Below are 13,058 nucleotides of genomic sequence, written 5' to 3'. Positions count from 1 at the left end.
AAAATAAATTTTAAAATACTGGAGGAAATATACCAGAGTGGCTAACTCTCGGTTTAAAAATTATTTCTTCTGCTTTGTAATATTTTTCATGTTTTCCAAAGTGGCCTGATGGGGACTGTCTCCACCTCATTCTATTCCCAGGAAATAATTTTGTGCCCCCTGCTGTTCTGACATAAGAGAGTCATGTTGGGAAAGATGAAGAAAAGCTATACTTATTTAAAGTTATGATAAACTGAAACTATGCTAAAAGACGGCCAAAAAGAAAGCTTTGTCTGAAAGTTGTTTCTCCAGGCTTAACTGAAAAAGTATGCTCCTGCATCCTTTCCTTCCTAGCACAACACCTAAAGGATCTGGCTTCCACTTTCCTCAAAGCCCAGCCAGGGTAGGGACTTAAAAACTGACATTCTGGCTAAAGGTTGAGAGGAAGAGAAGTGGGGTACTAGAAAGATCAGGGAAATTAAGAAACCAAAGGAACCATCAGGGAGGAGGAAAACTGGAAAGAAAACCACGGAAAAAAAAAAAAAAATCAGAAACCCACCCATCTACAAGGGTCAAATAGATAACCAAGCTGTCTGTAAGAAGCAAAAGGGAGGCCAGGTGCAGTGTCTCACGCCTGTAATCCCAGCACTTTGGGAGGCCAAGGCCGGCAGATCACCTGAAGTCAGGAGTTCGAGACCAGCCTGGCCAACATGGTGAAACCCTGTCTCTACAAAAATACAAAAAAAAATAATAATAGCTGGGCATGATGGTGGGTGCCTGTAATCCCAGCTACTCAGGAGGCTGATGTGGAAGAATCACTTAAACCCAGGAGGCGGAGGTTGCGGTGAGCCGTGATCATGCCATTGCACTCCAGCCTAGGCAAGAGAGAGGGACTCAAAAAAAAAAGAAAAGAAAAGAAAGAAAGAGAAGAAAAGAAAAGAAAAAGAAAGAAAGAAAGAAGAAAGAAGAAAGAAAGAAAGAAAGAAAGAGAAGGAAAGAAAGAGAGAGAAAGAAGCAAAAGGGGAATGGTGGGGACTGTGGCAAACTGGAAGGTTTCTACTCTATTTAATGGGGAACAGTTAAGTCAGTTCCAGGTAAATGTTACCACATGCAAACCCAGTTTTTTTCAGGCTTTTTCAATTTTCCAATCCAGAAATCCATATTTTTATGCAAAACCCTCACCTTATAAAATATTGGCAAATAAAGATTTACACTCCATTAAAAAAATATCAGTATCATGAAAATAGCAGGCGTTGAGGCCAGGCATAGTGGCTCACATCTGTAATCTCAGCACTTTAGGAAATTGACACTGATCAATCACTTGAGCCCAGGAGTTTGAGATCAGCCTGGACAGCATGGTAAAACCCTGCCTCTACCAAAACAAACAAACAAACAAAAATAGCTGAATAGAGTGGCATCCACCTGTAGTTCCAGCACCTAGGGAGGCTAAGGTGGGAAAATTGCTTGAGCCCAGGAGGCAGAGGTTGCATTGAGCTGAGATTGTACCACTGCACTCCATCCTAGGTGACTGAGCCAGACCCTGTCTCAAAAAAAAAAAATATATATATATATACATATATATGTATATATATATATGCAGTTGATTATTTTTGGTTGATAGGCACATAGGCATTGTTACTTTTCTCTATTTTTTAAGTAAGAAAAAAGAAACATGGACAAAATTAAAACCCCCACTACATAGACCAAGTAAAATATTGACAAGCCACATTCAGTTTTCAACCATACCATAGTACAAGGATTCTCTTTGACCCATCTGAGACAGACTTAGTATGAATTGATGGGTAACTAAAGGGAAACATAGAGGATTTTTCTTATTTTTACTATCATCCATGTTTTTTTTAAGAATAGACATCACCACCCTATCCTTCCAAATTTTAAGGGGTTACAAGAAAATGAGCATCTTTTATCATAAAGCAATCAAGGGCTAAAAAAAAGCTAGGATGGAATGAGGCTTGGCAAAGCTTTCCTATCCCAGCTTGGAGAATGGACACATCTTCCATCTTGCCCAGCCTCAGCTCTTTGAGTCACTGTAGCTGTTGTGTTTAAATGACATATCCAGATTAATTTGTTTGACCAATGAAAAGAGGTGTGAGACATGTCGGGTCATGGAGACGGTTATGTCGTCGCTGTCTTTATAAATCATCCCTGCTTCTCCTGAGACAATGCCAGGTTAACTCATGGATGCCTCTGGTTCAGATGGTAAAGATGGGAACAAATCACCCTTTTGCTGAAGAGTTCAGTTAGACAGATTGTGGTGGTGTCTACAGGGCCAGAAATGATCAGAGTCTTACAAAAGTAACACAAGAGCATCACAATCGATTTGTATAGCTGCCTCATCTTAGGGGTCGCCATCTGGTAACCAAGGGAAAACAGGAACTGAGACATCTCACAATTCAGAACCAGCTAGTGAGACTCAGGTGTCCTTGGTTGTTCTCCCCATTGACTCATGGCCCTGGGGTTCCCTGAGCCCAGCATATTGGTTAAGAGATTCTGCTAATGACTATACAGTTAATGATAACCAGCAATAACTGTTACCTTGCAAAGCCTGCTCTGTGCCTAATGATTGACCTGCGTTTCCATTTACTATTTCCAAATCTTGAAATAGATACTGGCAGTCTCATTTTACGGATAAGGAATTTTGAGACTGGATGGATGGAGTGACTTTTCCAAAGCCATCAGCTGGGGTTTAAGTGGGAATTCTGATACTGTTCCAGGCCACCTTTCAGAGATCACTGTAGAGATGTTTTCCAGATATTTGTTTCCAAGAGGATCAAGACCTTCATCAGTTTGACTCTCTTTTTTTTTTGAAATGGAGTTTCACTCTTGTTGCCCAGGCTGGAGTGCAATGGCGCGATCTTGGCTCACCGCAACCTCCGCCTCCCAAGTTCAAGTAATTCTCCTGCCTCAGCCTCCCCAGTAGCTGGGATTACAGGCATGCACCACCACCATGCCTGGCTAATTTTGCATTTTTAGTAGAGATGGGGTTTCTCCATGTTGATCAGGCTGGTCTCAAACTCCCAACCTCAGGTGATCCATCCACCTTGGCCTCTGAAAGTGCTGGGATTACAGGCATGAGCCACCACCCCCAGCTCAATTTGACTCTTAAAAGAAATAGTAATTTTAAAATACAGCTTCAAAAGAAACTGTATAGTAAAAAGAAGGAAGTTCTAGTATCAGACAGAACAGGAATTGCATGTGGACGCAGCCCACTTCCCTGCCATGAGATCCCAGATAAACCCCTAAAACTCTCTGAGCTTTGGGTTTCTCGTCTGTGAGAGAGAAATGCTCATTTGACACACATTAAGTATTATGTAGGGATAATTTTTTTTCCTAATGGGAGACTGGCAGAGCTGTTTCCCACAGAAACCACAGCATGAGAGCCCGAGGTTACTTCCTGAAATCACAGTTTGACCATTGCCGAAAGGCCATTTCCGTGCTTTTCTCTCCCCTGTTCTTTTTTTTTTTTTTTTTTTTTTTTTGACAGAGTTTCACTCTTGTTGCCCAGGCTGGAGTGCAATGGCATGATCCTGGCTCACTGCAACCTCCGCTTCCTGGGTTCAAGCGATTCTCCTGCCTCAGCCTCCTGAGTAGCTGGGATTACAGGTGCCTGCCACCACACCCGGCTAATTTTTGCATTTTTAGTAGAGACAGAGTTTCACCATGTTGGCCAGGCTGGTCTCTAACTCCTGACCTCAGAGGATCTGCCCACCTCGGCCTCCCAAAGTGCTGGGATTACAGGCATGAGCCACCATGCCCAGCCTATTTTTTTTTTGATTGACAGATAACATAGTATGTTTTATTATGTATCACACGATGTCTTAAAGTATATATACATTTTGCCATTGAAAGTAATGGCAAAAACCACGATTACTTTTGCACCAACCCAAAAGTTACCAAATGCATTTCTTCACACGGTTATTATTTTTGTGGGGAGAGCACATAATATCCACTCTACATTTTTCAAGAATACAGCATAACATCATTAACTACAGTCACCTTGCTGCACAATAGATGTCTTGAAATTTATTCTTCCTCTCATTATGTATCCTTCGACCAACGTCTCCCATTCTCCCCACCCCTCTAACACTATACTCTATATTTCTGTGAGATCAGCTTTTTAAGGTTTCACATATAAGTGAGATCATGCAGTATTTGTCTTTCAATGCCTGGCTTATTTCACTTCATATAATGTCCTCCAGGTTCGTCCATGCTGTCACAAATGGTAGAATTTTATTCCTTTTTGTGGCTGAACAGTTTTTCTGCTGTGTATATATACTGCATTTTCTTATTTATTTATTTATTTCTTTTTGAGATGGAGTCTTGCTCTGTCACCCAGGCTGGAGTGCAGTGGCATGATCTCGGCTCACTGCAAGCTCCGCCTCCCAGGTTCACACCATTCTCCTGCCTCAGCCTCCCGAGTAGCTGGGACTACAGGCACCCGCCACCATGCCTGGCTAATTTTTTGTATTTTTAGTAGAGATGGGGTTTCACCGTGTTAGCCAGGATGGTCTCGATCTCCTGACCTCGTGATCCTCCCGCCTCAGCCTCCCAAAGTGCTGGGATTACGGGCGTGAGCCACCGTGCCCGGCCTTGCATTTTCTTTATTCATTCATCCATTGATGGACACGTAGGTTGCTTCCATGTCTTGGCTATTGTGAATAGTGCTCTAATAAACATGGGTGTGCAGATGTCTCTTTGACATGGTGATTTTATTTCCTTTGGATATGTATGCAGTAGTAGGATTGTTGGCTCACATGGTAGTTCTATTTTTAACTTTTTAAGGCACCTCTCTATACTGTTTTCCATAATGGCTGTGCTATCTTACATTCCCACCAATAGTGTGCAAGGATTCCCTTTTCTCCATATCCTCACCAACACTTGTTATCTTTTTTGTCTGCAGAAGTGTTCCAGAGGACTCGTGGCATATTTTAAATCACCTTTTTTAAGGTATATTATCATACACTAAGATGCACACATTTTCAGTGTACAGTTTAATAATTTGGACAAAGATATACCCTTACATCATGTAGTGGCAAAGACAAATTAAAAACAAGAGGCCTAATTTTCCCTGTTGAAAATAATGAAAGAGACTTCTCCCTCTCTTTTGTTAGAGCATTTACTTTAGAAAACCTCTAATTGTAGGCTCTTTCTCTGTCTCTTTAAAATGTATGTAAATCTTTTTAAAAGTGAACTAAGTCTCTTGCCAGCTTTAGGAGCCAGAAATGGCTTTCTCAGGGACCTGGGTACCATCTCTTAGAAATGTAATCATCAAGAAAGATGGCGCCTCTATCTCCCAATTCCTGTGGGAGAATAGGAGTCTAATCCAAGCTGGAGTGGGCACCTCACTGCAAGTTACAAAACTGTCTCCTGTCATAAAGATGTGAGAAGTCTATTTTTCCTTAGGATAAAGCCAATTAGCAAGCACAGATGGCCATCCCAATTACTAAGTGAATCTAGGGTGAACTATGTATGACAAATGTTGCTGTCAAATTCTCTGACTTGAGGACTATTTATTGTTTATCTTGAGAATCTGCAGGTAATGGGTTGTATCTGCTTGACTGTATAAAAGGGTGAGATTTCTTTCTATCTTTGCAATTGTGCGGCAGATTGCCTGTGATGTACATCACATTCTGGACTAATGCTTATTCAGTAATGAAATCGTCTGCCTTCTCTTCTACCTTTCTGAGTTGAGAGGGGATTTTCTTTTGAACTATATGGTATTTCTCTAACAGTCACCACTACCCTGATCGAGATACTGAAAATGGGTCAGGCGCTGTGGCTCACACCTGTAATCCCAGCACTTTGGAAGGCAAAGGCGGGCGGATCACTTGAGGTCAGGCGTTCGACACCAGCCTGGGCAACATGGTGAAACCCTATCTCTACTAAAAATACAAAACTTAGCCAGGCACGGTGGTGTGCACCTGTAATCCCAGCTACTCAGGAAGTTGAGGCAGGAGAATCGCTTGAACCCTGGAGGCGCAGGCTGCAGTGAACCAAGATTGCACCTCTGCACTCCAGCCTGGGTGACAGAGCGAGACTCCGTCTCAAAAAAAAAAATAAAAAAGGAAAGAAAAGAAAAGAAAAAAGACACTGAAAACTTTCATCACCCCAGAAGTTACCATCTGCCCCTTTGAAATAAATCCTCAACTCTCCACCCTAGGCAACTATTGATGTTATTTCTATTGCCATAGATAATTTTTGCTGATTCGAGAACTTTTTAAAGTGAAATCATACAGTATTTACTCTTCAATGTAAGGCTTCTTTAACCCAGGCTGTTTTCGAGATCCAGTCATGGTTCTTGCATGTAACAGTAGGATGTTCATTTTAACTGTACAGTACTATTCCAAAATTGTTTTTCACTCACTTGTTGATAGACATTTGGGTTTTTTCCAGTTTTTGACTGTTAGAAATAAAGCTGCAGTGAACGTTCAGGTACAAGTCTGTTTGTGAATGTACATTTTTATTTCACCTTGGATAAATAGCCAAGAGCAGAACTGCTGAGTCTTATGAGTGTGTATTTAACTTATGAGTGTGTATTTAACGTTTTCACTGACATACTCTTTTCCAAAGTGGTCGTACCATTAGAAAGTTCCTGTTGTTTCATACCCTCAACAACACTTGACATAGTCATTCTTTTTAATTTTAGACATCTTAAGTCATAAGGCATAAGTCTCATGTCATAAGTCTGAAGTCATAAGATGTAAGTCTTATGTCATAAGTCTTAATCATAAGATTTTTCTCCTATGTTTTCTTCTTACAGATTTAAGCATTTATATTTAGGTCTGTGATACATTGTAAATGAAATTTCGTGTATAGTGTAAAGCAGAGACCAAGGCTCACATTTTCCTCTCTAAATATCCTCTTTTTCTATCACCATTTGTTAAAAAAACACCCCATTTATCCAAGTGAATTCTTAAAGTCTTTGTCTAAAATGAGTTGATCATATGTGTGGGTTATTTCTAGACTCTGTCTTTACACCGATACTACACTGTCTTGATACTGTAGCTTTATTTCAAAACTTTTACAGTCTTGATATGGTAGCTTTGAAATTGAGTAGTGCAGTTTCCCTAATTTCTCTCTTGTTTTTCAAATGGTTTTGGCTATTCTACATCTTTTGTACTCTACAAAGCCTGCTTGGGTTTTGACTGGGATTATGACTATAGGTAAGTTTGGAGAGAACAATACAATAACAATGTTATTAGTTATCTACTGCTACATAAAAAAAAATCTCCAAACACAAAATGACAGCATTTAGTATCTCAGAAGATTATCTGTGGGTCAGTAACATGGACATGACTTAGCTAGGTCTTCCAGCTCAGGGTCTCACTCAAGGATGCAATTAGGTGGCCTAGACTGCAGTCATCTGAGGGTTTGACTGGATCCATTTCCAAGCTCACTCAGTGGTTATTGGCAGGATTTAGTTCCTCACAGGTTGTTGAACTGACAGTCTCACCCTTATTGGTTGTGAGCTGGAGGCTACCCTCAAATCCTTGCTATGTGGATCCTTCCATAAGGAAGCTTACACCATGGCAGCTGGCCTCATCAAAGTAAGCAAGAGAGAGTTAGAAGAAGACAGTAGTCAGTCTTCTAGAACCTAATCTCAGAAGAATCATTCTATCATCTTTGCCATATTCTATTCATTAGAGGCAAGTCACTAGACTCAGCACATACTAAAGGGAGAGGATTACGTAAGACGTGAATACCAGGAGATGCTGATCATTGGAAGCCATATTAGAGGTCTACCTACCACAATCATATTGAATATGCCAATCCAAGAACATGGTATCTCTCTCAATCTCCCCTCTTTTTCCTTTTCAATTGCTCTTAGCAATGTTAATTGGTTTTACTATTAAAGTTTTGCATATCTTTCATTAAATTCATTCCTAAATATTTTATTTTTGATCTTCTTCTAAATGATATTTAAATTTCATTTTTTAGTTCCTTATGATCAACAAATTTAAACACAAGTGATTTTTATATTGACCTTGAATTTTTTGACTTTGCTAATTTCATTTATTATGTCTAGAATTTTATGTAGAATTTTCTATGTAGACAATCATGTCATCTGAAAATAGAGAAAAATTTTACTATGCCTTTCAAATTTCCATACCTTTGTTCTTACTTTTGATGCCTTGTTGCACTAACTAGTTCCCCCATCTAGCAAAAAATTTAATAGTGGTAAGATATTCTTGCCTTGTTTCTAATATTGTGGAGGGTGGGGGCAAAAGCATTCACTAAACAGTATGTTAACTGTACAGCTTTTATAGATGCTGCTTATCAAATAGAAGATGTTCCCTTCTGTTTCAATTTCCTAAGAGTTTTTCATCACAAATGGGTTTCCAATCTGTTATCAAATCCATTTAGTGAATTTTTAATTTAAATTACAATACTTTTCAATTCATAATTTTCATGTTTTTTATGTAATTTCCATTTTTTGTTGATATTCCTTATCTGTTTACCCAGAAGGGCCATATTTCCCTTTAAGTTCTTGAATATATCTAATTAGATGCTTTATATTCATAATAGCCAAGTATGAAACAACTAAATGTCCATCAGTGGACAAATGGATAAAGAAACTTATTTCATGATGAAATACTAGTTAGCTTTAAAAACAAGGAGAGCCTGCCATTTGCACAACATGGATAAACCTGAAGAACATTATGCTAAGTGAAATAAACCAGGCACAGAAAGAAAAATATTATAAAATTATTTTTTCTAAAGTCAAATATATAGAGGTAGAGATTAAAATATTGATTACCAGGGACAAGAAAAAGGAGTAGTGAAGAAATAAGGAAATGTAAGTCAGCTGATATGAGATAGTACATATATAGGACTAAGAAGTCTGAAGGTCTAATGTACAACATGAAGACTATAGGTAATAAAATTGTACTGTATTTGGAATTTCTGCTAAATAAGTAGATTTTAGTTGTTTTTGCAACAAAAAACAAAAAAAAGATAATTTGTGAGATGATGGATATGTTAATTTGTTTCACTATAACAGCCATTTTATTATCTGTATGTTACCCATAGCATTATATTGTATACGTTAAATATACACAATAAAATTTATTTTAAATAAATTTAAAAATCAACCAATAAGTTGATGCTTTATATTCTTTTTCATAATATCCATCATCTTGGTATTGATTTCTATAAACTCACTTTTGTTCTTGACAATGAATGGTTAACATTTTCCTGACTCTTTGCATGTCTAGTGATTTTTTAGTGTATACTGGACATCAATAAAGGAACATTATAGAGACTCTGGGTTCTTTCACTCTAAAGAATGTTGATTTTTATTCTCTAAGGAGGATCAGTTACTGAGGAATCACCTTTAACATGTGTAGTCTTGGCATTATGCTTTGTTAAAGTAGATCTATAGAATCCCCAAGGTTTTTCCTAAGCCCCTCAAACTCCAAATGTTGATGTCTCTGCAGATTTTGCCAGGCTAGATTTTAAGCTTTGTTAGAGAAGATCCAGAGAAGACCTTGCTCTATAATATATTCCCACATCATAGGAGTATTTTTCCTGGTTTCTCATCTGGATGACCAACATGTTAACAAGGTTTCTCAACTGTGGGTAGACCACAACTCTCACATCTCCTAGTACTCATTAACCTGCAGTATTATCTTCTGTCAGCCCATGACAGTGACTCACTGGTAAGTCTTGCATAATTTTGCTCTGCACATGTGCATCCCTCAGCCAAGGAATCCTTTAGAATCCCTACAGAGACTTACTGAGATTTCTCTGTTCAGCTCCCTCCTTTCCAGTGCCCTGCCTTATAGCTTCCAGCCACTTCAGCAGTCCTGATCTCTGATCTCTGCCTCATCAGATCAGTAGCACTGCTACTTCCTACCCAGGCTCCAACTCTCTGCACCGTGATCCAAAGATTGTCCCAGCCAATACCACACTGATGTGGGTCTTACTTCATGAGTTTCCCACACTCCAGGATCACAGTCTTGGGCTGCTTACTACCCAGTGACTAGAAGCATAAATTTTGTTTAGTTTTATACTTTTTTAAAGCAGGGAGGCTAACCCAAAGCCAGCTGCTTTGTCAAGGCTGGAAGTGGTATGATTTCTGGCATTTTGATTTGGGGGAAGGACGGTCCTCTTCATAAAGAACCCACTTCCTCTCATTCCAAGTTGCTTTGAGCAGTAGCATTGTGGGTCAAAAGCCCCCACTGTGCTTCTTCTGGTATCTGATTATGTCAGGGCATGTCCAGAGGGTCTGTGGGGTAGGCCACTTTAGGGCCTATACTCATCCTAACAGAAAAGAGCTCCTAAGAGAAGTGGTCCAGGGGTTGGTGAAGAGGAATGAGTCTCCATTACTCATATCTCCTTCCATTCCAGTAATGTGGACAGAGCTTAAAATCCTAGAAAGATTGAGAGAGTGCACAATAACCAAAAATTCCCATTTGCTGACATTTTTGAAGAAAGTTGATATCAATTGTAATAATAGTATTGGTTGAACACTAACTACATTCCAGCCATGGCTAAAGAGAACTCTCCATGAACTAACTTACGTAATTTATACAAAAGCCTAATGACAAATGTTCTGTAACTATCCTGATATTTTAGATGAGCTTAACCAACGTGCTAAGAAAATAAGTACCTTCCCCATGGTAAACCAGCTTAACTAGTAAAAATGGAACCTTGCACCTTTGACGATCATTCTACCCTCCCACTCAGTACGATGTATACCAAGCAATCTGAGATGTATTATCTCTTTTAATTTTCTTAACTACTCAGTAAGGCCAGTAATTTACAGATGAGAAAGCTGAGGCTCAGAAAGGGATAATTACTTTACCCAAAGTCCTTTACCTGATGAGTAGGAGCTCTGAGCTTTGAACCCGGTTTTATCTGATTCCAATCCAATGCTCTTTCTCTGGCCTCCCATGGAAAAAGTCCAGGAGTCCCCAGGGAATTCAGTGAAAAGAGAAAAAACATTTCATGGCTATTTTGTCCATCAACATCTGGCATTGATGGTCTCAACCAGGGACATATCTCAGCAGCAGGAAGGGGAAAGAAGTGGATAAGAAGTGCTTGGGCTTGGGTGAGGGTGTAGATGAATGGGGGTCCTACAAGGGTAGATCCCACACCGACAGGGAAATATTGTTTGTGCCTGGTGTTGAGACCTATTCTTATCACTATACTGAATTGGCCTGAGGGGGAAAAATTGTTACCCCTTTTATTTCACAAACTGCTTTGGAAAGTAGAAAAGTTTAGTGTTGGCAATTTTGGTCTCTCCTCAGCATGAGCTGTTTCCAATTGGGTTTGTAATAAGATAAATGATAAAGGTGCTGGCCCACAGGAAAAGAGGAAGGCTAGCATTCTGATCAGGGAAGTTTGCTTACACCAGTAATCAAACACGGTCTGAGTATGCGTCAGAGAAAGAGACGCAACATGAATCAATCTGAACCTAAAATGACTTCCCAAAAGAAGATTCCCCTGATAAGTAAGCAAGCCTCATAGAAAACAACAGCACAGTTACTTGCCTTTCTATTCCATTGCAACTGTACTACTTACTAGCTGTGGGTCCTTAGGCAGGTTATTTCACTTTTCCAAGCCTCAATTTTGTCATTTATAAAAATGAAAATAATAATGGCACTAATAAGACAGTATCTGTCAAATAAACCAGTGGCTTTAATGCTGAAGGGAGATCTTCTGAAGCAATTAACACTTGAACAAGACCTGAAGGATGAGACCAGGACAGACATACAAAAATCACATAAAAGAATATCCCAGGAAGGGTCAGGAAGCATCAGCGGAACAGCAAGTGCAGAGGTCCTAGGGCAGGAAAGGATGTATGTGCTCAAGAAAGAGAAGGACAGTGTTGCTGAAACACAGAAAGCAGGAAAAAGGGAGAGAAAATCAGCTGAAAGCAGGGTCAGATCATGTAGGAATTTTAGGAGATGGTAAAAACGTTGTGTTTTATTCCAAGTGTAAAGGATGGTTTTTAGAGGATTTTAAAGTGAGAGAATAACATAACTTGGCTCATCCCAGACTAGCCATGGACGAATTGGATCTACAATGCTTACTAAAGTAACGAGTGCGGCTGCTGGAGGTGGAAATGCACAAAGTAAAAACTCAGTAAGTCGTAGCTGTCATGCCTCTCATGGTTGTAGCCATATGGCCTTGTCCTGAGCAAAAGACACTGCTAAAAGGGCTCACTTCCCTGAAGCCAGAGGAAAGTTCTAACCAGGCCACCAACACCACCCCCCCAGGCCTGGGACAGCTGACTCAGGAGCAGAGCGATTTGATCCAGCTGAGCTTATTAAAACTTCCCAGCTTGCTGATGTGGTTATGAAGGTTAGTGAGGAGGGAGCATCCTTACCTGGCTTTAGGGCATTACCTGCTGCTGGGGCTGCGCCTGGACTCCTGCCCTCAAGAGGAGGAGGAAATGATGTTTCTCTGCCTGTGCTCACTTGGCTGTTTTTATTGCTGAGACAGGCCCTTCAGGTAGCTACAAATGAGGGCAGGGACCATGGATGCAATCTGCCCACTCCCTGAGTCATAGAATCTTCCAGGGTCTGTGCTAGGAGGGACCTTCCCCTCATCTAATTATAATGCCAGAAATAAGCTACTGTTTGTTAAGCACCTACTATGCTCTAGGCATAAGACAGTTACATTGCCTCTTTCAAGTATTTAACCACTCTTCCAGAGAAGCATTTTTTCCCTCCATTTTACAGAGACTCAGAGAGGTTAAGTAAATTGCCTAAGGTCACACAGCTATTCAGTAGCAAAGCTAGGATTTTAACCTAGTGTTTTTAACTCCCAGCTTAGACTATATGCTTCTATATCCCTTTTCCCCCACCTGAGAGACGAAGACAGTAAAGGTAAGAATGCAGAAGAAATTGCTTTAAACCAGATGCCTCTATGTGTTTTTTAAAAAAAAACTTTTGTCACAGAAGGTAGGTTCTGACATCACAGTCTCTGTCTATGTGACCTCAGAGAGCAGGACAAGTTGACCCTGATGCTCGCTTCTGGCTTTTAAGTTGAGAGATTCTGTTTCTGTGATCATTTCTGAAAAGACCCACAAAGCAGGTTGTTTAAATAAG

General features: G+C 39.9%; 1 long non-coding RNA gene across 2 annotated transcripts in view; it reads right to left on the bottom strand.

The window, feature by feature from the left end:
- LOC101927026 (uncharacterized) overlaps positions 1–12,832 on the bottom strand; it is a 51,795-nt gene extending 38,963 nt beyond the window's left edge. For both annotated transcript variants that reach the window (NR_188389.1, NR_188390.1), the window contains exon 1: positions 12,353–12,832. This is a non-coding gene — a long non-coding RNA (uncharacterized LOC101927026). The remainder of the gene's footprint in view (positions 1–12,352) is intronic.
- Between the last annotated feature and the right edge of the window lie 226 nt (positions 12,833–13,058).

Source organism: Homo sapiens, chromosome 16 (genome assembly GCF_000001405.40).
Source record: "Homo sapiens chromosome 16, GRCh38.p14 Primary Assembly".
NCBI classification, from domain to species: domain Eukaryota; kingdom Metazoa; phylum Chordata; class Mammalia; order Primates; family Hominidae; genus Homo; species Homo sapiens.
The sequence above is the reverse complement of the archived record's forward strand: the minus strand, read 5'-3'. Positions and strand labels throughout refer to the sequence as shown.